This window comes from Homo sapiens, chromosome 11 (genome assembly GCF_000001405.40).
Source record: "Homo sapiens chromosome 11, GRCh38.p14 Primary Assembly".
NCBI lineage: Eukaryota > Metazoa > Chordata > Mammalia > Primates > Hominidae > Homo > Homo sapiens.
This window is the reverse complement of record NC_000011.10, coordinates 6,254,456-6,278,878: the sequence shown is the minus strand read 5'-3', so window position 1 is coordinate 6,278,878 and position 24,423 is coordinate 6,254,456. Positions and strand designations below refer to the sequence as shown.

The following is a 24,423-nucleotide window of genomic DNA, read 5'->3' as shown; positions in this document are numbered from 1 at the left end:
CAGCATGTGGATGGGGGTTCTAGGGGTGTGGAGAGGCACCTGAGAAGGACAGTACACCCGGTGCTTGCTGAGGGATTGAAGTCTGCAGAGCTATAAATTTAAACCTCTTTTCTTCTACATTGGGCTCAGGAGTCTTGAGTGATTCCAAACTGCTCCCCACCAGTTCATTTCTTTCCAGCCCTGAATGATCACTCTAGGCAGAGTCAGAATATATAGTGAAAAGAGCATGGCCTTTGGGATCAGGCAGACCTGGGTTCAAATCCTTACTCCACCACTTAAAAAATTTTTATTTTTTAATTTTTGTGGGTACATAGTAGGTGTATATATTTTGATACAGGAATGTAATGTATAATAATCACTTAAGAATAAATGGGGTATCTATCACCTCAAGCATTTATCTTTTTTGTTACAAACAATTGAATAAGTTATTTTCTAATGTACAATTAAATTATTTTTGACTATAGTCACCCTGTTGTGCTAGCAAATACTGTCTTATTCATTCTAAATTTTTTTTTTGTACTTATTAACCATTCTCACTTCCCCTTCGCTCCCCCAATACCCTTCACAGCCTCTGGTAACCATCCTTCTACTCTCTATGTCAATGAGTTCAATTGTTTTAAATTTTAGCTCCCACAAATAAGTGAGACCATGCAAAGTTTGTCTTTCTGTACCTGGTTTATTTCACTTAACATAAGGACCATCCATCAGTGTTGTTGTAAATGACATGATCTCATTCCTTTTTATGGCTGAATAGTAGTACTCTATTGTGTATATGTACCGCGTTTTCTTTATCCATTCATCTGTTGATGGACACTTAGGTTGCTTCCAAATCTTAGCTATTGTGAATAGTGCTGCAATAAACATGGGAGTGCAGATCTCTCTGATTTCATTTCTTTTTCTTTTTTTTCTTTTTTTTTTTTTTTGAGACCGTGTCTTGCTCCGTCGCCCAGGCTGGAGTGCAGTGGCGCGATCTCGGCTCACTGCAACCTCCGCCTCCCAGGTTGAAGCGATTCTCCTGCCTCAGCCTCCCGAGTAGCTGGGATTACAGGCACATGCCACCACACCCAGTTAATTTTTGTATTTTTAGTAGATGGGGTTTCACCTTGTTGGTCAGGGTGGCCTCGAACTCCTGACCTCAGGTGATCCACCCGCCTTGGCCTCCCAAAGTGCTGGGATTACAGGCATGAGCCACTGAGCTCAGCCCCTCTGATTTCATTTCGTTTGGGTACATACCTAGGAGCAAGATTGTTGAATCCTATAGTAGCTCTATTTCGCTCTTTTGAGGAACCTCTAAAGTGTTATCCACAGTGATTTACTAATTTACATTCCCACCAACAGTGTATGAGGGTTCCCTTTTCTCGACATTGTCGCCAGCATTTGTTATTGCCTATCTTTTGGGTAAAAGCCATTTTAACTGGTGTGAGATGATATCTCATTGTAGTTTTGATTTGCGTTTCTCTGATGATCAGTGATATTGAGCACGTTTTTTGTGCCTGTTTGCCATTTGTACATTTTGAGAAATGTCTATTCAGATGTTTTGCCCATTTTTTGATCGGATTATTAGATTTTTTCCTATAAAGTTGTTTGAGCTCTTTATATATTCTGGTTATTAATCCCTTGTCAGACAGGTAGTTTGAAAATATTTTCTCCCTTCTGTGGATTGTCCCTTCACTTTGTTGATTCCTTCCTTTGCTGTGCAGAAGCTTTTTAACTTGATGTAATCCCACTTGCCAATTTTTGTTTTGGTTGCCTGTGATTGTGGGGTATTGTTTAAGAAATCTTTGCCCAGTCTAATGTCCTGGAGAGTTTTCCCAATGTTTTCTCGTAGTAGTTTCATGGGTTGATGTCTTAGATTTAAGTCTTTAATCATTTTAATTTGATTTTTGTATATAGCAAGAGATAGGGGTCTAGTTTCATTCTTTTGCATATGGATATCCAGTTTTCCCAGCACCATTTATTGAAGAGACTGTCCTTTCCCCATTGTATGCTTTTGGCGCCTTTGTCAAAAATAAGTTCACTGTGGAGGTATGGGATTATCTCTGAGTTCTCTGTTCTGCTGCCCTGATCTATGTGTCTGTTTTTATGCCAGTGCCATGCCATTTTGGTTATTATAGGTCTGTAGTGTAATTTAAAGTTAAGTAATATGATTCCTTCAGTTTTGTTCTTTTTGCTAAGATAGCTTTGGCTGTTCTAGGTCTTTTTTGGTTTAATATACATTTTAGGATTTTCTTCTCTCTCTGTGAAGAATGTCATTGGTATTTTGATACGCATTGCATTGAATCTGTAGATTGCTTTGGGTACTATGGATATTTTAACAATAGTGATTCTTCCAATCCATGAACATGAAATATCTTTCCATTTTTTTGTGTCTTCTTCAATTTTTTTTGTCAATGTTTTATAGGAATCTTTCACTTGTTATTGTTAATTCCTAAGTATTTTATTTCATTTGTAGCCATTATAAATGGGATTACTTTCTTTTAATATTGTTCTTTTCTTCTTTTTTAAAATAGGAATCCTATTAACTGGGGGATTCCTTTCTGTATTTCTTTTTCAGATTGTTCACTGTTGGCATATAGAAATACTACTGATTTTTGTATATTAATTTTGTATCCTGCAACATCACTGAATTTGATTATCAGTTCTAATAGTTTTCTTGTGGAGTATTTAGGTTTTTCCCAATATCAGATCATATCATCTGCAAATGAGGATAATTTGACTTCTTCCTTTCCAAGTTGGATGTTCTTTTTTTCTTTCTCTTGTCTGATTGCTGTAGGACTTCCAGGACTGTTGAATAATAGTGGTGCAAGTGGATATCCTTGTCATGTTCCAGAGCTTAGAGGAAAGACTTTCAGTTTTTCCCCATTCAGTATGATACTAGCTATGGATCTATTATATATGACTTTTATTATGTTGAGGTATGTTCTTTCTATCCCCAGTTTTTTGAAGGTTTTATCATGAAGGGAGGTTGAACTTTGTCAAATGTTTCTTCAGCATCAATTGAAATAATCATATGGTTTTTGTCCTTCATTTTGTTGATATGATGTATCACATTGATTGATTTGCCTCCCAGGGAAAAATTTTATTTGGTAATGATGAATGATCTTTTTAATGTATGGCTGAATTTGGTCTGCTAATATTTTGTGGAGGATTTTTGCGTCAATATTCATCATTGATATTGGCCTATAGTTTTCTTTTATGATGTATCTTTGTCTGGTTTTGGTATTGGGGTAATACTTGCCTCACAGAATGAGTTTGGAAGTATTCCCTCCTCCTCTATTTTTTGGAATAGTTTGAGTAGAATTGGTATTAGTTCTTTAAATGTTTGGTAGAATTCAGCTGTGAAGATACTGGGTCTCGTGCTTTTCTTTTCTGGGAGACTTTTTATTATGGCTTCAATATAATTACTTGTTTTTAGTCTGTTCGGGTTTTGGATTTCTTTCTTTCTTTCTTTCTTCTTCTTTTTTTTTGAGACAGAGTTTCGCTCTTGTTGCCCAGGCTGCAGTGGAATGGCATGATCTCGGCTCACCGCAACCTCTGCCTGCTGGGTTCAAGCAATTCTCCTGTCTCAGCCTCACAAGTAGCTAGGATTACAGGCATGTGCCACCACGCCTGGCTAACTTTTGTATTTTTAGTAGAGATGGGGTTTCTCCATGTTGGTCAGGCTGGTCTTGAACTCCTGAACTCAGGTGATCTGCCCGCCTCAGCCTCCCAAAGTGCTGGGATTACAGGTGTGAGCCACCGCGCCCAGCCAGGTTTTGGATTTCTTTATGGTTCAATCTTGGTAGATTTTATGTATCTAGGAATTTATTTCATCTAGATTTTCCAATTTATTGGCATATAGTTGCTCATAGTCATCACGAATGATCCTTTGAATTTCTGCAGTGTCAGTCGTAATGTTCCTTTTTCATGTCTGATTTTATATATTTGGGTCTTCTCTCTTTTTTCTTATTCTAGTTAAAGGTTTGTCAATTTTGTTTATTTTTTCACAAAGCCAACATTTTGTTTCATTGATCTTTTGATTTTTTTCTTCATTTCAAATTCATTTAGTTCTGCTCTCATATTTATTATTTCTTTTCTTCTGCTAATTTTGGGTTTGTTCTTGCTTTTCTAGTTCTTTAAGATGTATCATTAGGCTGTCTTTTTTGATATAGGCAAGCTATAAACTTCTCTGTTAGTACTGCTTTTGCTGTATGCCATAGGTTTTGGTATGTTGTGTTTCCATTATCATTATCATTATGTTTCAAGGAATTTTTCATTTTTTTTCTTAATTTCTTCATTGATCCACTGTCATTCAGGAACATATTGTTTAATTTCCATGTGTTTGTATAGTCTCCAAAATTTTTCTTGTTTTTGATTTCTAGTTTTATTCCAGTGTACACCACTTTCTTTTTTTTTCCTACCATTTATTTGCCTACACATATCACTTTCTAATATCATCTCGTAGCAAGCTCTGAGCCTCCCCTTGGACCCAGAGTTCTGTCCTGTTCAATTATTGGTGGCTACCTGTCTACAGAAGGCTTTGTTTCCTGGTGCTTTTGCTTCCTTCCAGTCTTGATGCATCTAACTCTTCTTATGCTATGTGCCTGATACAATGATAAGCACTTTATATGCATTATTTTACTTAAGTTTCAAAATGGCAGTGTAAGGTTAATATAATATTACCGTTTTACACCTGAGCCTGAAACTCACTTAGATAACGTGCACAAAATCACACAACTTTTAAAAGATAGAACTAGGACTGGAAAGACTTGAAAGAAGGCAACACACTATAATGGAAATAGAAAAAGCTTTGAAGTCAGATACCCGAGCTCAGTTCTTGGCTGTATTCTGGCTGTAGGACCTCGTATAACTGCCTTAAGCTTTCTTAGCTTCACTTTATTTGTCTTTTGAATGAGGAGAAATGTTCTGTGGAAGTATTCAGAGAATGAAATGAATCAGTGTATATAAAATGCCTATCACTTAGAATTAGATCTTACCACTACCCTCCTCTGTCCCCCGACCAGGCTCAGTCATCTTCCTACTACATCATGCTGCTCTCAGGCTGATAGGATAAATTAGGCAGGAACACAGATGACTATGACAAAAGAGAGAAAGCAGTAAGTACCATATGAGCATACAAGCTTTGTCAGAATGACAAAGTAGGACTTCATGGGGACAGTGATATTAAATCTAGACCTGAAATGTTTTATCAGATCTCAAGAAATGGAAAATAGATGGAAGGAGCTCAAGAGACCATATCTGACAGCTGGATAGGGCATGGAATGGGGTGATGGAGGTAAAAGTATTCTGTAGACCCAGCCCTCTACCCAGCTCCAGGCTGCCATTTCGTGGTCATCTGGAGCCCAGGCTCCAGCTAGAGGGGGCTAACAGTCCCAGGCAGTCTTTAGAAGGAACGGTGGAGTGCTAGGGAGCCTATGGGCCAGCCTACTCCCACCCCACAGAGAAGCTGGCATGAGAAAGAAAGGCCCAATATCTGCCTGCAGCTCCTCAGACCAGCTGGGATTCTATTTTTAACCATCCCTGTCATAGTTGACAGCTTGGAACGCCTTCTCCCTCCTTTTCTTCCTTCTTCCTGCCTCTTGCAGCCCAGAATCCTGTAGAAACGATGGATGGGAGCAACCCCAGCACTGGTAAACAGAACCACTCTCCTTTCTCACTGTCCTCTACTCCATGCAGCCTTCTCCAGGGTAGTTAGTGGGTGTATTTTAGAGGCATATTGGCTGGGAAGTGAATGAGGCCTAAAATTGAGGGCTCATCACTTGCACAGGCCCCTTTCAAGGCCCTGGTCAGGGTCCCAGTAATTTTGTATCTGTGATTTTGTATTCTTTTTCTTTCTTAAAAAAAGAGTACCCGATTTTATAAACTTTAGGTCCCACAAAACTTGTCTCTGCTCCTCATGGGTGGGTCTTCTTCCCCATCTCCAGCCCAGGGTCTACTTCAACACCATTATTCTATCTTGCTCTAACTTACTGTATGACCTTAGGCAGCTTACATTCCTGCTCTGGGCCTCAGTTTCCCCTGTCTGTTACAAGATGAAGCATCAAAAGACCCCTCCTCCAATATACTATGCCTCTGATTATCCACGTATGTCCTCTTAGTGAGGTCCTCAGTTCCTGTTCTTCCTCATTTGTCATTGTGTGTAAAGAGGTGATATTGTTGGTCTTTGCCTGTCTCTGGGGCTAGATCATTCTTATAGTAAAAGGGAGACTGGGTTCTCAGACTCCTATTCAGGTCTTTTTTTGTTGTAGCTACTAAAAGTGCTTCCATTTGGCAGAATCTTGGCCAGGTTTTGACACTGGGGAAGAGAGTACAGCAAAAAATCCCTACTCTTTAATTAACTGTATTCATTCTGTATACCTGTCATGGTCTGATCTCTGGTGTTTCAAACACACATTGAATAAACTTAGTCTTATTATACAGTGCTTCCTCTTTTATCTTTTCATCAAAATTTAATAAGCATCCATTAATATAGTACCTTAACAGTGGCACCACTTTGGGATAATGTGATCAGGAATCATGATATGTCATGGATATGCCATTTTCCATCCCCATTCACAGTTATTGCAACATTGGAATGTAGGTAGAGGATGAAAACTCAGAAAGAATATGCACAGCCACGCTGAACCTCAGAGGCTGGGCTTTCTGGCAAGGGGTTGTGCACAGCAGTGTGCAACAGTGGGAGAGACCCGACAGAAGGATACTGCAAAATCCTATGCCTCCTCACCTGCCCCAGAAGAATCCAGAAAGGAAGTTCAGGAGGAAGCCAAACAATTTATTATTTCTTGAACAGTTTGGGTAAGGAAGGAGAGGGCAGGGCCACGGTCCTTAACTGGAAAGGGATGAAGAACCTTTTCAGTGCAGAACAGCCTGTTGGTCAGAGGTATGAGATTAGGCCTGATGGTATTTTCAGTGCTGATTGGGAAGGGTCACTGTGAGGTCAAACTAGGAGCATCCCAGAATCAGTCCTGTGCCAGGCTCCATAGTCTCTAAAACAATCAGTGCCATTAATCTATGTGTGTGAGAGGCAGGTCAGCCCTTGTCAGAGTTCCCACTGTGTAGAAATAGTTCACTGCTAGGGACGCTGTGTCTCTCCAAGGTCAGTGTCATGTTTCTATGGGCCAGGCTCAGTCCCATATCAGAGGCATGCCTCCTTTCCCATGTACTGCTCCATTCTTATTCCTCTTGTGTCAGGTAAGCTACCTTTTCCTGTGCGTTGGGGTTAGTCCATGCTTTGGGTGTTGGTTTCCTGTGTCAGTTGTGGTTTGTGTTTCGTATGTCTGGAAGGGTCAGTGCATGTCATTTGCCCTGCCTCAACCCCCACGGCCCCTCTACTCCTCAGCCAGGGCCCAGTGTGCTGATGGTGGTGTAGCTAAGCCTGGACAGCGAAGCAATGGAGGGAGTGGGAGGGTCCTCATCGGGAAGAGCCCTGGGGCGAGCTCGTGGAGGCCGGGGGCAGCAGCGAGCGCAAGTTTCCAGGCAGGCCTGGCGAAAGCGACGGTGCATGAAGCAGTAGACCAGGGGGTTGACACAGGCCGAGGCGTAGCTCAGCAAGTGAATGAAGGAGATAGGAGCACCCGAGAGTGCTCGGTGTGCACCCGGGCCATCAAAGGCGCGCCACGTGTTGGCACTATAAACTGGCAACCAACACAGAAAAAAAAGCACAACGATCACCAGCAACATTCGCACCACGCGCTTCTTAGCCAGCAGCTTGGCCTGGGTGGGCCGGGAGCCGGATCCCGGCCCAGGAGCCGTCAGCGCCGTCAGCTCCAGGGCAGGCCGGGAACGTGGAAGTTGCACGTAGCAGCCATCGCTGTCTTCGCCAACCGCGCCAGTCTCAGGCCGGCAACGCCCGTTCTGGTGAACAGCCCCTGAGCACAAAGGGTGGGCGGTCAGAGAAAAAGGCGAGTCCCCCCAGTCTCCAGCCCAGTCCCCACCTGACCTCCGCTCCCAGCTCAACTCCATTTCCAGCTTCCTTCTCACCCTCACCTTCATTTCAGTCCCACCCACTCCAGCAGGCCCCGTCGCCCTCCAAAGCTCCGCCTCGCCCAGATTTTGCTCACGTGGTCCAGCCCCACCTGGCAGCCCGCCTTGGTTTCGGACCCTGCTTTGGCTGTCGCTGTCACTGTCGCCGTCAAAGCGAAGCCCTAAGTAGAGCTCGCGAGAGATAAGCCCGTAGGCCACGGCCATAACCACACCCGGGATGAAGAACAAGAGCAGAAGCAGCAGTACGGACCTGAAGGCAACACAGACAGATCACTCGGGTTTCTGTCCAGCTGTAATCACAGATGGAGAAAAAGCCAAGGACTAGTGTTTCTAGGGCTGTGGCCAGGTACCTGAAGTAGGAGTAGGATTTGGGGGTGCCGCTGGGAAGGGAGAGAGAACTGGGGAGGGGCCCCAAACTGGAACTCCAGGGTGGTGGATGCAGAATAGGAGTTGGCGTGGTAATTCTCCGGGAAGCTGGAGGAAGATTCTGGGCAATGGTCGTAAGCATCTAATAGGGGTGAGAAAGGAATTCCTAGGATAGTTTATGGGCAAGCTCACCAGGTCTGGCGGACCCGCGCACTGGGCCAGCGATGCACGCACTGCAGCACACGAGGCCCCACTGGTTGCACGACAGTGTACACGGGGTAGGGCACCATGAGTAGTCCGGACAGCAGCCACGTGGCTACAATCACGCGAGCCGCGTGGGAGCGCGTCTGCCACACTCGTGCCTGCAGTGGTCGGCAGATGGCGCTGTACCGCTCCAGTGCGATGGCCACGAGGCTTAGCGTGGACACACTCACAGACACCCCTAAACAAGGGAAGAGAAAGGAAGGAGTCACCTAGGAAACTTGCACTACACAAGCATCAGTGGGACTTCCTCACACCCCTCCCTGCCAACCGGGGAAGACCCCTACATCCACAAGAGCTTTAGGCGGGGAGAGTGGCAAGTGGGGGTGGGGTGGTTGTCTCACCCACCCATGAGGTAGGAAACCGCCTTGCAGATGACGGTGCCAAAGATGAATGTGCCCATGAGATTGGGCAGGAGGGTGAAGGGCATGCAAGCCACAGCCAGCAGGAGGTCGCTGACTGCCAGTGAGAGGAGGAAGGCATTGGTGACAGTCCTCAGGCGGCGGCTCAGTCCCAGGACCACGATGATGAGCATATTTCCTCCAACGCTCATCAGGAAGATCACTGCGTAAAGAGTGATTCTAATGGCCAGCTCCAATTCTGGGTAAGAAAAGGGAGAGGTGGCAGTAGGGGGTCAGCCTTCATTCAGTCAAATCCCCCTCCTTCCGTCTTATCCCCAACCCTCACTACCCAGCCAGATGCCTACATTCCCCACCGATGAACTGCTCAGTAAATGGTGAACTTGAATCCTTTAGCCTTCTAACCCCTTGAGGTTTGGTTAAATTGGCCCAACTCTGCCCTTCCTTAAGAAAGCCTGTCTCTTCTCAAGGTTCGTTCCAAATCTTTCCTTCTTTCTGCAGACAAACTTCTTAAGAGGATATTTGTGTCTTCTCATTTACTCTTCATTCCATTACAATACAATATTCTGTGCCCTATCAGTGCATACTTCTTCCCAAGTACACTAATCTTTAACTGCTAAATTCAAAGGTCCTTTCTTAGCCTACTCTATTTGACCCCGCTAGAGTATTCTACACTGTTGACAACCCACTACCTTTTGAATCACATCAGATCATGTCTTTATTCTCTAAAAACAAAAGCAAAAAAAAAAAAAAAAAAAATACTTCACTTACTCTCTACTGTCTGCAACCCCTCAGAATATCATCAAGATCCTCCCAGAAGGGACTTCTTTCTCTCCCACCCCCTCCCTGTACAGCAGGCATTTAAGCAAGCCACTGGATGACTCAATTTCTTGAATGCATCATTTGCACTTGTGACTCTCTCCCTGCTCAAGCTGGTTTCTCAGACCGGAATACTCTTTTACCAACCCTCCTCACAACTTCTACCCCTCATCACAAGCTTATTTTCTGTATCTGGTGAATTCCTATTCATCCCTTGTTGGTCAAGACTCAAATTGACTGCTACTTCTTCTGTAAGGCCCTTCTGTAAGGCCCTTCTACTCTCCTCTTTCTCTGACCCATGCCTGTTTCTTACACAACTATTACAGCCTATTTTACTTCTGCCTTGTATTTTAATTCTCTCCAAACATTCATTCTCACTCTATAAACATTTACAGAGGACTCCCTTTGTGCTAGGCACTGGGGACAAAGAGATGAACATGACAAGATCCCTGCCATTTGAGAGCTCACAGTGGGGAAGTAAACTCAGATACATAAACAGATGTGATAAGGAGTGAGGCTGAAGGATGTATAAGGTGCTGTTGGAGCTCATAGGAGGGACACCTGTGTGAGGCAGAGGGGCTGGGAGGCTGACCCCATTCTTTTGTGTCATTGTCTATTAAAAGATGGATTAATCTTTGGACCACCACATCACAGCCAAGCAGATTTAGATAAAATCGAATTGGATTGAACAGGACTGAATTACTCACACCTATGGCCTCAGCATGAGAGGGATTAGAGCTGGAAGGTAGAGAGGGCAGGGGACAGAGCCTCCTAGATTGCAGAGAAGGAAAGCCTCAAAGCTGCAGCCCCCTCTTCCAGAGCCCCATACTTTGACTGATTCTCATTTTAGCTCCCAAATTGAAAACTACAGCCATGCACTGAATAACGATGTTTTGGTAAATGACCAATTTCATATACGATGGTGGTCTCATAAGATTGTAATGAACAGCTGAGTGCAGTGGCTTATCTTTGTAATCCCAGCACTTTGAGAGGCCAAGGCGGGAGGATCACCTGAGGCCAGGAGCTTGAGATCAGCCTGAGCAACATAGCAAAGTCCCGTCTCTACAAAACATAAAAAATTAGCTGGGTGTGGTGATACGTGCCTATAGTCATAGCTACTCAGGAGTTTGAGGCAGAAAGATTGCTTGAACCCAGGAGTTCAAGGCTGCAATGAGCTATGATAGTGCCACTGCACTCCAGCCTGCACAACAGAGTGAGACTCTGTCTCAAACAAAACCCAAAATAACAACAACAAAAGATTATAATGGAGCTGAAAAGTTTCTATCACCTAGTAATGTTATTGTAACATTGCAGCATAATGCATTACGTATGTGTTTGTGGGGATACTGGTATAAACAAACCTACTGTGCTGTCAGTCATATAAAAGCCTAGCACATACAATGATGTACATAATACTTGATAGTGATAATAAATGACTGTGTGACTGGTTGATGTATTTACTACATTATACTTTCAATCATTATTTTAGAGTATACTCTTACTTATTTTTTTAAAAAAGTTAACTATAAAACAGACTCAGGCAGGTCCTTTAAGATGTATTCCAGAATAAAGCACCGTTATTATAGGAGATGACAGCTCCATGTGTGGTGTTGCCCTGATGACCTTCCAGTGGGACAAGATGTAGAGGTGGAAGATGGCAATATTTATCCTGACCCTGTGTAGCCCAATGTGTGTGTTTGTGTCTTGGTTTTAACAGAAAGGTTTTTTTTTTTTCTAAAGTTAAAAACAGAAAAATGCTTATAGGATAAGAGTATAAAAAAAGAAAATATTTTTGTATAGCCATACAATGTGTTTTTTGTTTTACACTGTGTTATTACAAAAGAGTCAAAAAGTTTATAAAGTAAAAAGTTACAGTATGCTAAGTTTAATTTATTATTAAATACATTTAGTGTAGCCTAAGTATCCAGTGTTTATAAAGTCTACAGTAGTGTACAGTAATGTCCTAGGCCTTTACTTTCACTCACCACTCATCACTGACTTAGCCAGAGCAACATCTACTCCTGCAAGTTCCATTAACGGTACGTGCCCTATACAGGTGTATGATGGTTTATCTTTTATGCTGTATTTTCACTGTACCTTTTCTATGTTTAGATACACAAATACATAACATTGTGTTACTCTTCCCTACAATATTCAGCACAGTAATATACTGTACAGGTTTGCAGCCTGGGAGCAGTAGGCTATACCGTATAGCCTAGGTATGTAGTAGGCTATACCTTCTAGGTTTGTGTGACAAACACTCTATGATGTTTACACAATGAAATCACCTAATGATGCATTTCTCAGAAGGTATCCCCATCATTAGTTAATGCATGACTGTATTTTCTCATAACAAAAACCAATTTATTTAGAAATTGTAGGCATCAAATAAATGCTATTTATAAAAACTTCCAAACCGAACTCAGCAGTAACATTCTTTGCTCAAGACCACACACCTGATAAGGGGCTGAATCAGAATAGAAGCCAAGTCCCTGATCCCTAATGTGCTTTGCCTCCTACTGTTTGTTCCTGCAGTACTCTGTTATTCATCATACTACCTCCATGTTTTTTGTTTGTTTGTTTGTTTTTGTTTTTGTTTTTGAGATGGAGTTTTGCTCTTGTTGCCCAGGCTGGAGTGCAATGGCATGATCTTGGCTCACCGCAACCTTTGCCTCCTGGGTTCAAGCGATTCTCCTGCCTCAGCCTCCTGAGTAGCTAGAATTACAGGCATGCACCACCACGCCCGGCTAATTTTGTATTTTTAGTAGAGATGGGTTTCTCCATATTGGTAAGGCTGGTCTCGAACTCCCGACCTCAGGTGATCACCTGCTTTGGCCTCCCAAAGTGCTGGGATTACAGGTTTGAGCCACTACGCCTGGCCCATACTGCCTCCTTCTTAATCAAATCTCAATCTAAATGCCTCTTTCTCCCTCTCTCTATACTCAACCATGGCATTTTTCACTGTATTAGTATGTATGTAATTCTCTGTCTTCCCCACTAGACTAGGAGCTTCTTGAGGACAGTGGCAAGGTCCATCTCGCTCTCCAGTATATCCCTAGCACTCATCATCCCTAGCACAGGGGAGGCAGTCAACACATGCTTGTTAATGAATCTTGGATGATTCTGTCTTTCAAGACAGAAGTGCACCTGCTTTCCCCCTCCTCATCCATCCGTCATCTCTGCAGAGGTGCTCCAGCATGCCCTTTCTTCTTCTTCTTTGCCTCTGTCTTTTTGGAGACACATGTTGGAAGGTCCTTGTGGGGGTCAGTGAGAGGTTATGATTTCAGATGCATAACTTTTGTTTTTTATATGCAAACCATCTATATTTCCTTTAGAAGCTGGGCCTCTCTCTGTAAGGAAGGATTACAGAAGGCTTATAGGTGACAAAATTTGAGGGGAGTAAGTGTGTATGGTGGAGAATAAAGGACTTTTAGGAGGGAGACCTCTGTCAGAGAGGTCCTTGGACTCAGAAAAGAGCTGGTGGTTTATCTTGGACTCACTGTTTCTTCTCCAAATCCATTGTCCTCCCACCCCCAGCCTCCACCTCTTTAATCTTTCTAGTTCCATTATCTTGCTTACATCTGCCCTGGATGTCTTTCTTCAACTAATTATTGATGCAATTCGCCACACCTCAAATTGGTACAGTACTGTGAAGCATGAAAAGCAATTTCTCATTCATTCATCCAGCTGATGTCCCATGTGTGTGCCCTTGAACTTGGCTAATTGTGATAGACCATAAAGATGGAGCTAAATATTACCCTTATAAAGTTTGCAATATGCTTGGGGACTCCTGAAATTTATAAGACAAAGTCCCAGTAAAAATGACCAGCAACTGTGCAGTGTTCTGCTGTTTTACTGGACATTCCTAGCTATTATCTTATTTCCAGCCACCACTGTCTCCACACGTCTTTGCTGTTGAACAGTTCAGAAATGTGAAAAATTCTAATTAAAAGCAATTTTAGAGCCAGGAGTTTGGAGAGGCAGAGCGAGGGATAAATAGATGAAGTACAGGGGATTTTTAGGGCAGTGAAACTATTCTGTGTGATACTGTAATGATGGATACATGCCATTATACATTTGTCAAAACCTATAGAACCATACAACACAAAAAGTGAACCCTAATGTAAACTCTAGAATTTAGAGAATAATGTATTGATATTGGCTCATAAATTGTGACACATGTACCACACTAATGTAAGCTGTTAATAATAGGGTAAATTCTGTGTATATGTGTGGTTGTGTGTGTATGGGCACTCTGTAATTTTTGTAAACTTAAAACTGCTCTAAAAATAATCCATTAGTTTAAAAAGTCATGCACAAAATAAATCAGACTTAGACTTGTATGCGTGTGTGTGTGTGTGTGTGTATTGATGTGTGTTTGCATGGTGGAATATGAGTGATGACAGTGGCTTCAGTGACTAGGAAACAGGCATGGGTAGAAGGATGGGAGATAGCACCTGCTGGGGTACATCCACAAGTGCCTTGATAAGTCTACCCGTGAGCATCATCTCATCATCTTCCTGGGGATGAGGAAAACTGGCATCAGACCAGGCGACTCAGAAGATTGGGACAGTTCAGTTCTTCTCCTGGTGTTTAGAAGATCTGTATTTGTTCTGTCTAGATAATGGCAGAGAAGTATGAGTGCAAAAATCCAGACAACGTGACATAAAATGAAAACCAAGACTTTCTAAGGAAAAACTCCACAGAACACTGAAGCTGCTGATGCCTTAAATTCTGCATTCTACTGGCAGGTTTGATCTGTTCACCCATGCACACAGACATCAAAGTAATACCCTTGTCTCTATGATAAGCAGGGATCACATCCAACTGACTGTGGGTAGTGGCTGGGTGAATGGGGGAATCCACATAGTGGGTACTGAGGGAGCAGAAGTAATATGCAAGGGTGTGTAGGTAATATCAGAGTGAGTGTTGGGCATACTTTAATCTTTGAAATAGTATATGGGTAGGTGAAAGTCACGCTTATTTCTGTGGGACATATCTGGAGAATGGTAACATCTACATGCTTATAGGTAATATCCGATTGAATATGGCTTACATTTAAGTTTAGATAATATCTGAGTCACTGTAGTAACATTTGAAAGAGCAAGGGTTAATATCCAACTCTCTGTAGATAACATTTTGTAGGTAACATCTTCAGGAAGCATAGATTACATTCAGAGGTCTACTTGTGAGTAGTGGAATATCCAAATAATGATAGAAATTGCTGACTGAGCAGAAGTAATATCCAAGTATGTATGGGTAGTATTTGAGTACAGATGTTAGATGTTAACATGTTAACTAAATTAAGATGTTAATCTGGGCCAGACATGGTGGCTTATATCTGTAATCCCAGCACTTTGGAAGGCTGAGGTGGGCAGATCTCTTAAGCCAAGGATTTAGAGACCAGCCTGGGCAACATGGAAAAACCCTATCTCTACAAAAAATACAAAAAATTAGCCACTTGTGGTGGCACATGCCTGTAGTCCCAGCTATTTAGGGGGTTGAGGTGGGAGGATCACTTGAGCCTGCGGAGGTCAAGACTGCAATGAGCCATGATCATGCTACTGCACCCCAGCCTGGGCAACAGAGGGAGACTGCCTCAAAAAAAAAAAAAAAAAAAAGATGTTAATCTGAGTAAATGAAATAACTGAGCACCTGAGTGAATGTAAGTAATATTTAAGCTTTTGTGGGTATTATCTGAGTATGTGAGAGTAATATTTGTAATTTTATGGGTAGTATCTGGGAAAAGCTTACTTAAGTGAGCATAGGTAATATCTGGTTGTGTGTGGATAATAATAAAATGAAAGTGAGTAGTGTTTGATGGATGGGTAACACCAAAATGACTTCGGACAATATTAAAGTGAGTGTGGTAACATTTGTCTTTCTGTGGGTACTATCTGAGTGAACATGGGTAATACTCAAGTCTGCATGGATTATATAAGGAGAATAAAGTGGTAACATCCAAATTCCTATTGGTAACATTGGAGTGAACCTGGGTAACCTATGCATCTGCAGGGATAATATCTGAATGAGTGTGGCTGACAGGGTCTCTGTGTGTAACATCTGACTGGCTGGGTAACATCCAAATGTGTGAGGAGCATTTAGATAAGTGAGGCAAATTTTTGCACCTGTGCTCTGAATTGCGTCACATCCCGCTTTCACAGGGAATCTTCTCTATTGACTATCCCCTTTCTTATCTGCACCTTCAATCTTCCTCTCTCGGCCCAATCACCAACAAACATTTTAAAAAGCTCTTGTTTTAAAATGCGTGCACACACACGCGCACACACGTAACAAACCTATGCACATACCCACTCCCCCCTTCCTCAATCTCATGCTATTTTTGGCAATATCCTGCTTTTCTTTCTCTCTCTCTCTCTCTCTCTCTCTCTCTCTCTCTCTCTTTCTTTGCCTACCAGACTTCTTGAAAGTTTTGGCTACATACCTTGGTTCACTTCTCATAACTCCTTCTCTCACCAGTCCAATCTTTAACCTACCATAGTCAAGCCTCAATACCTACAACTCCTAAATATTTTCTTGTTATTGAATGTGAAGGATGCTGTTCTGACTGTCCTGTTTTTTATTTATGTAACTTATGTCAATAGCATTTGATATCACTTACCCCAACCTGCTTGAAACTCTCTTTTTCTTGCTTTCTGGAAGGGCGTAGCTCCTGCCTTTCTGATGGTTTCATCTGAATCTCCTTCATAAATTCTCCTTTCTCTGCCTGGCTTTTAAATAATGGTCTTATGCAGAGTCTTGACCTAGGACCTATTTTCTTCTCATTCTATACAAAATTTTATGATTTTAACTATTCTCGGGGCTTCTACATCCTGTAGGCAAAGACCTTCTTCAAGTCTGTATTTCCACCTCAGACCTCTCCTGTAAGTTCCAGACCCCTGGATTCAACAGCTTACTAGGTAACCTCACCTGGATGCCCCACTAACATTTAAACTCAATGGGTTCCAAACTGAATTTATAATTCCCTCTTCCAAACCTGTTTCTGCTGTTTTGTTATCTTTCTCATTGTATACAATTGCTATAGCACCAATATCCATTCAGTTGTCCAAGTTAGAAATCTGAATGTCATCCCTTGACCTCTTCCATCCTCTCTGCTTCTAATCTGTTGATTCCATTTCCAGAAGAGGCTCTCAAATCTATCCACCTCTCTCCATCTCCCTTGCCATTACCTTAGTCTCAGCTAGCATCATCTTTCACCCAGAACAGTGTAATATAGTAACCTTGTAAAGTATCCCCCTGCCTTCCATCTTATGTCTTCCAATCCGTTCTCCACATTATAGAACTAATCCTGGTAGTACTACCGAATCTTTTAGTAGTTCCTATTGCCCTCGGGAGAAAGTCCATGTTCCATGGTCAGGCCTAGCAGGCTCTCTGCAAACCCTCTAGGCTGGTCTCCAGCCTGTTCATTATTCCCTTCTTAAGATATATGTTCTAGTCACTCAAAACTATGTCACAGTGGATAAAAGTGCCATGAATTCAAACTTTGAGCTTCTTATACATCTTGTCCTTTTATTTGGGATGCTTTCTGCCTCTTCTGCCCGTTCACTTGGCTGGCTCTCCCATATGTATATGTGTGTGTGTGTGTGTGTGTGTGTGTGTGTGTGTGTATATATATTTTTTTTTTTTTTTTTTTTTGCCAACAGGAAGCTTAGAGCCAGCCTCCCTAATTTTTTTGACTTTGTAGCTCATTTCCTCAAGAGGCCAACTTTAATTCTCAAGGAGGCTGGGCTGGGCTAGAGGTGTTCCACTTGTGTTCCCACTATCTTTTCCCTGTCAAGGCTCTTCCACTTTGTGCTGCAATCCCCTGCTTTTCTGTCTCGCCCATTAAACTTTGAGCTCTGTGAAGTAGGAATTGTGTCGGTTTTGTTCAACTTACATTCCCACTGCCTAGCACAATCTCTGGTTCAATAAATATTGGCTGAATGACAGAATCCAAGTGTGAGTGTGTAACAACTCGGCTGAGAAAGCATAGATTATTTCGTGGGGTAAATAAATACTTGGATTACAATTTATTCCAACTTTCCCTTTTTGAGTTTAGAAAAATTTCCTTCTGCTTAACATTGCTCCTTCACCTAGAATCCCACTCCTTCCTTTTCTGCCTACTCAACTTCAAGACCCAGCTCTAAGGTTCTAGCCTCTGTGAAGTTCTTTTGGTGCCCACAGTTTAGACCCTTTCATGGGACTTCCATTGTGTCTGTGATTTTTCCATTTGCTTGGTTTCTCTCTGCACTTGGCTATGGGCCATGAGGGTCCAGACTGGGTCTAGTTTGCCCTGTGCCCCCAGCACCTAGCCTAGGGCTGGAGAGAGAGCTTGGAAGATAGCTGGAGACATTACTTGCAGACAAAGAGAGAGGGCACAGAGCCTCGAAAGCTCCAACTAGGGAGGCAGAGGGGTTTGAGAAGGAGTGAAATGGAGGCAGGCAGCTCTAAGGAGCATCCCCTAGTGTCCAGCCTAATTCAGATTTGAGGATCTTTTTTGGGATGGCTGGGGGCTGGGGTGTCAGATGTGATCACAACTTCAGCTTCGCATTCAAGCTTTCCAGAGTGCTCCCTCCCTCAACCAGCCCCCTTCTTTTCCCAGTCCTGCCTTCCTTTCTTCCTTCCCTTCTCTGTTGTGGCTCTGTGAACTGGATGTAAGAGGGAAAAGGAGATCTGCAGGGTTGGCAAGAGGAGGTCCTCGCCTTCTGACTGGTGTCTAGGAGGGGCTGCGTGTTGGGGAAGGGGCTGTGCTTTGGGGTGAGCAGGGGCTCTAGGTGTATTCAGGGGACCAGGATGTGAAGGAGTTCCGACCAGGTGGTGTGAAGCTGTGATGAAGTTGTAGGCTGTGGGGGTGAAGGTGTGAGGGGAGCTGTTTGGGGGCTGAGGGAGTACTATGAGAGGCACGGTGTGGACGTTTGAGAAGGTAGTGTGGAGCTCGTTGGGGGGACTCTATTAGTGTTCTGGGGTACAGTGAGAAATAGCTTGTGGGGGGGGCTGAGGGAGGCACCCACCTCGTGTCCCGGCTCCGCGAATGCGAGGGGGCTCGCAGCTGAGGTTGCCCACACTGCTGCTGTTGAGGAGAGGCGCCCCCGGGCGGCACAGGGAAGCCCCCGGCCCGGGTCCGGTTCCCTGCACGCTCCGGTTCAGCTTTAGCAGCTCCATGGCCCCCGCCGAGCCCGCCGCCTTACTCAGCTCGACCCGGCGGGCTCCCAACGCGGCTCCACCTGCTCACGCTGCGATTCCGGCTCAGGCTCCCGCCGCCCTCCTCTCCCTGCCCCCTGCCCCGCCTGGTCCCCGCCCCCAGCCCAGGCGCCTGCCCTCCACTCTCCCGCGGCTCGCCCCGCCTGGGTTCCCGTCCCTCCGCCAGCCTCTGTCCCGCCAGGTGACTGTGCACCCCCTCCCTGGCTCGGGAGTTCTGCCCCTCCCTGTGCGACTGTCCTCCAGGCTCGCCCCCTCCCTAGATGTGTCCCGTCTCCTCTTAGAGATTTCTCTCCTGCCCACCTCTCTTTATCACCCGCCCCCACCCCCGATTCCCAGGAATGAGAGAGAGAGAGAGAGAGAGAGAGAGAGAGAGAGAGAGAGAGAGAGATTGAAGACAAGAGTATTGGCAGCGTAGGGGGAGGTTTCGGGGAAGGGAGGGTAGGAGGGGTTGGGTAGAGACGGCTGCCACGGATCCAGCATCTTTCTCTGGTGTATCAGGGAACGTGGAGGTGGCGTTGGAGACCAGGTCTGCGTGCGTCACCTGCTGAGGCGCGGATGCTTTAGTCTGAGCCTAGAGCCGCATTTACCGTACTGTGTTGCAGTGGCCGCAGTGACCGTGACACTATTGCTACCGTAGTTCCCTGCAGCTCCTCGCTGCGGGCCTGGGGTAGCTCCTGCATCTGTCTCCGCACCCTCCATCTCCTGTCTGAGGCTTAACACTCAGGCTTGCACTTAAGGGTCCCAAGGAGCCCTCCACAGCTGGGCGGGAGTGGGGGTGGGGCCGGGGCCGAGATTTGGCTCCAGGGAAGCCTTGCCAGGGAAAAGGGCTCCCGGGAGGAAGCTTCTGACTTGAGTGTTGAGGGCAGTTGGGGGTGGTGGCAAGCACTGACAAGGATAAACCAGAGTAAGGTGAGGATGGGATATAATTCTAACGCCGGCCCAGCGCAGGCAAAAGAGAAGGAGAAGGTTGGCTTTCTCCACCGTCTCCAGGCAGCGCCCACGCCCACCCGACACGCTAACGCTCCCTGTTTGCTCTCAGTGCAGGCAGAGCTGCCTGTGTAGGGTGTCAGGTTCCCACGAGAGGGGGCTAGAAGGGGACTGGGTCACTGCGGTGCAGCGGGAACAGGGCTGAAGGGTGCAGGACTGAACTGGGTTCAGCTTCTCGGGGCAGGATTTGCCTCTTCTACTATTTCAGCCCTGCTCCCTATGCATTCTCCTATCCATTCCTTTTCTTCCCCAGATTCCTATCTCCAGATTCCTATCTCCAGATTCCTATCCATTCTTCAGATTCCGGATGAACTCCAATACGATGTGAAATTCTTCTGACCCCCAGCAGTAGCTGTAAGAGGTTGGGGGCGGGCATCAGTGGAAGAGCAAATTAGAGAATGGAGTCTGGCTTTATGGGGGATTCAGCAGGCCCTTATCCAATTAATCTTTTGGAGAGGACCTGGTTCAGCCAGCCCTGAGTTTATAGGGGCTGAAGCATTGAAAGAGAGTTGAAAGACAGTTTATGCCTGAGATGTCATCAACTGCTCCCCCTTTCCTTCCTCCTGGTACTGCCTGTCTTGCCCATCAGAGAGCCTGGACCAGAGGAGCTTGATTTGCTATTTGTTCCGCTCCAGCACAGGTGGGGCCTCAGATAACCTGCTCAAGTTTTCCCACATTGGATGACAGTACGATGAGGAGGGAAGGGAGCAAAGGATGTAAGGGAGAGGGGAGTGAAAATAGAAATAGATGGACATTCACTTATTTAGCAAACTATGCCAGTTCTAGGGGTATGCACTAGTTGTCCAATATAGTTTGCCCCTCAGTAGCACCTACTCTAGTGGGATTTTCCCAAGCAAGCCAATGATTGTAATATATGGTCGTTAAGTGCACCCACCAGGATGTACAAATCAGAAATTTAGGAATTATTATTGATGCCTTACTCCCCTATGCTCCTTCACCCCTGCGCTGGATGCTGTGATGCAAAGCCCAGAACCCTCTTCAAAAATGGAGGATTTATTTTCCAGCTGTGGAGAGTGCTCCTAAAAGATGGCCCTCAGCTGTCATAACCCTTCAGGAGTTGCCTAAGCAGAAGAAAGCCAGCTCATCCAAGGTTATGCTCCCTTTCTTGGGCATTCTATATCCAATGACCGATCAGCACAGAGGTATAAAAGTTTAATCCCCTCAACCCAGTGGTGGACAACTCTGAAAGATGCTCACACCCCTAGAACCCTTCATATGGTTGACTGAGGTCTTTGCTGGGACTGAATTACTACTCAGCTTCTCCTTTTGCCCAATCCTATTTTCATCCTCTCTCTTGCACAGGTGTTAACTCCAAGAACGCTCCTTAGTAAACATCCTCCACAGTAATCTTTGTTTGAGAGTCTGCTTCCTGGGGAACATAACTACATCACTCCCATATTGAATCAATCACAAAGTCCTGTTCATTTTAGCTACTGAGTGTTCCTTGAATCTGCCTGCTTATATGTCCACTGATATTACCCTACTCTTGAACCACACTCCTAACCTCCTAAATGGGCCACCACATTTTACTGATGCCTCTCTACATCTATACTTCACCTTAAAGCCGAAGTACTATGCTCAGAATACAAATCTGACTATCCCACTCTTTTGACCTTTGCTTTTGGGAATGAGAAAACATATTAACAGAATTTAGAAAGCCTGTGAGGCCTGGCTCCCACTTACCTCTCTAGCCACATTATTTCAAATCACATTATTTCAAATAAGAGTCACAATGATTCTTATTCTCTCCACTGTAAACACATTAGCCTTTTTTTGGTCACTCCTTCTTTTTTCTCTTTTATTTTTCTTTTTTCTTTTCTTTTTTTTTTTTTTTTTTTTTGCTATATGTCCTTCAGTTGCATGACTTTTCCATATGCTCTCTGGAAGCTTCTTCTTTCCTTCCTTACCTAGTTAACACTTACTCATCCATCTGATCTCAGCTCAAGCTACGATTCTTCAGGGATATTTCCCCTGGCTTCCTCTCCTTGGGTAGGCAGAATTAGAAGATGACCACCAATGACTGTCACCCTTATATAATCTTCTTTTGTGTGTGGATGGACCTGTGCATATGATGAGATACTACTCCCACAATTATGTTATATGGCAAAAGGGATTTTGCAGATGGAGTTAATTCTACTAATCAGTTGATCTCAAGATAGACAGATTATCTGGCTAGTCCTAACCAAGTCACATGAGTTCTTTAAAAGCCAAGGGTTCTTTTTTTCTTGCTGGTAGCAGAAGAGGAAATCAAAGAGATTGGAAGAATGAGAAGAATTCAACACACTGTTGATAGCTTGAAGATGGAGGGGATAATGTGGCAAGGAACGAATGGTGGCTGTTTTCTGGCTCGAGGGTGAAGGAGGGCACAGGACAAGCCCTGAGAGTGGCCTCTAGTTGACAGCAGTCTCTAGCTGACAGCCAGCAAAAGAACAGAGACTTCAGTCCTCCCCCGAGTCTGTAGAAGAGAATTCAGTCTGGCTGAAACCTTGATTTCTGATACCCTGAGCAGAGAACCCAGCCACACTGTGTAGACCTCTGGCCAATAGATCTGTGAGCTAATAAATGGGTGTTGTTTTTAGCCACTACATTCATGGTAATTTATTACAACAGCAACAGACAAATCATACACCTTCTATCTCATGAGGCAGCAAATGCAGACTCTTGCAAGCCATGCAAGGAAGAATTGGGAGCATTGGAAATTTGTTAAGATTTAGAAAGATTTGGAAAGATTGCAGTGGAGTTAGTGTGGGGAGCAACTTAAAAGGTGGGACCAATTGGGAGTCTATGACAGTAATTTGGGTGAGAGATGGTAGTGGCTTGACCTAAAGTCATGGACGTAGTGGAAAAGATTGATCTAAGACCTATCTAGGAGGTAGAAACAGAATTTAAAGATAATTTGCATGTGGAGGGTGAGAAAGAAGGATGAGATAAAAAATGAATAAGGTTTCTGGTAACTCAATATAAACTATTTGATGATCACCTATGATGTTCAAGGCACATTACCTGTAAGTACATTTAATCTTCATGAAGAACCATGAATTTAGGTCCAATATTGTTGATCACTATTTTAGATGAAAAAACTATGGCTTAGAGAGAGTTTAAGTAACTTGCCCAAAGCCACAAAGCTACTAGGTGAAAGAGCCAGAAGTCAAAGTCAGGGATTTTGGAAATCAGAATTCAGTTGTTCATACTGTGCTGCTTAGAATGAGTAGATGTCTTACCAAATTTCCCTGATTACCTTCTTTCTCTCATTTTACACAATATTGTTTTTAAATTTTCTCGTCTCATAAAATCTCTAATTTCTTCTCCCACCCTGACACACACACACACACACACACACACACACACAGAGACACAGAGCATTCTTCACTCTCAACCTAGACTCCAACTTCATAGAGAAAATAGTAACTAGCACAGAGAAACTCCCACCATCAAATCTGTTCTGTTTTGGACATATTAAGTTTCAGATGTCTATTAGATACCTAAGTAGAATTCCATTAGGAAGCTAAATATACAGATCATATAGGAAGTAATGCAAACCACAGAATTAGAGTGTGTAGAATAAGAACAAATGAAGGATCAAGTCAGACTTTTAGAGGTCATTATTAAAGACTGGATAGAGAAAGATGAGCCTGCAAAAGACACCAAGAAAGAGTAGACAGAGGGACAGGAGGAAACCCAGAGAGTGAAGCATCATAAAAGCTAAAAGAGAAGAGGTGCAAGAAGAAACTGGTGAACTCATTCAAATGCTGCTCCTGGGTAAGCAAAATGAGGAATGAGAAATGTGGTCCAAAATTAGTAACCTGGAGATCTTTGGCAACCTTAGAAAGAGCCATTTTAGTGAGGTTGTTGAGGCAGAAGGCAGGGTAGATGTCCTGAAAACTGAATATGGTGGGAAGAAGTGGAGTAAATGACTTCAGACAAGTTTTTAAGAAATGTAGTTACTAAGGAAAGGGGATAGAGCTGCAAGAGGATGTCAAATGAAAGATTTTTTTTTTTAAGATGGGTGGACTTGAACTTTCTTTTCTTTCTTTCTCTCTTTCTTCCTTTCTTTCTTTCTCTTTTTTTCATTTTTTTGGCAGATGGAATTACTCCAATATATAAAAAGACTAAAGATACAGGAGAATGGCTAATTAATAATGCAAGGTTCCTGAGAAGTCAGGGATGTATGCAATCCAGAGCGGAAGTGGAGGATCCTAGCTTTTGATTGCAGTAGAGACTCAATTGTGAGAGGAAATTAGTAGAAAAAGATGATTATAGATGAAAATAAGTTATGGCCTACAAATTAACCGCTACATTTCCTAGACCTTTTTGCAGCTAAGTGCAAAAAATGCACACTATGACTAGGTAGTGTCTGTAGGTAGAAGTGATATGTGCAGCTTCCACATCAAGGTCTTAAAGGAGAGAAATGGACCTTCTCTTCCTC

The 24,423-nt window shown here is 43.7% G+C and overlaps 1 protein-coding gene across 3 annotated transcripts, besides 1 other annotated feature; it reads right to left on the bottom strand.

Annotated features, from left to right (window-relative positions):
* Positions 6,752–19,041, bottom strand: CCKBR (cholecystokinin B receptor). 3 transcript variants are annotated; one of them, NM_176875.4, is made up of 5 exons: positions 18,800–19,041; positions 8,959–9,210; positions 8,542–8,791; positions 8,076–8,233; positions 6,752–7,868 (listed from the first exon to the last, which is right to left on the bottom strand). In NM_176875.4, the coding sequence occupies exons 1-5, from the start codon at positions 18,948–18,950 to the stop codon at positions 7,336–7,338; spliced, it is 1,344 nt and encodes a 447-aa protein (NP_795344.1). In that variant the 5' UTR covers positions 18,951–19,041; the 3' UTR covers positions 6,752–7,335. The 3 variants fall into 3 exon arrangements, with proteins under 3 accessions (NP_795344.1, NP_001350481.1, NP_001304958.1); NM_001363552.2 differs by having other exon boundaries at positions 6,752–8,233; NM_001318029.2 differs by lacking the exon at positions 8,959–9,210.
* Positions 7,524–8,723: an enhancer, noted in NCBI's record as "CDK7 strongly-dependent group 2 enhancer chr11:6291386-6292585 (GRCh37/hg19 assembly coordinates)". NCBI's record gives its function as "activates an origin of replication core promoter dependent on BRD2, BRD4, P300/CBP, MED14 and CDK7 cofactors, with strong dependence on CDK7, by STARR-seq in HCT116 cells {active_cell/tissue: HCT116}" and the evidence as "EXISTENCE:reporter gene assay evidence [ECO:0000049][PMID:35650434]".

What these genes read in the sequence shown, in the direction of transcription:
- CCKBR (NM_001363552.2), bottom strand. Translation starts at nt 18,950, where the DNA reads ATGGAGCTGCTAAAGCTGAACCGGAGCGTGCAGGGAACCGGACCCGGG. An exon ending in TCGCGGAGCCGGGACACGAG is followed by an intron (nt 9,211 to 18,799) that starts GTGGGTGCCTCC and finishes TTTCTTACCCAG; the next exon opens with AATTGGAGCTGGCCATTAGA. An exon ending in GCGCGGGTCCGCCAGACCTG is followed by an intron (nt 8,234 to 8,541) that starts GTGAGCTTGCCC and finishes TGTTGCCTTCAG; the next exon opens with GTCCGTACTGCTGCTTCTGC.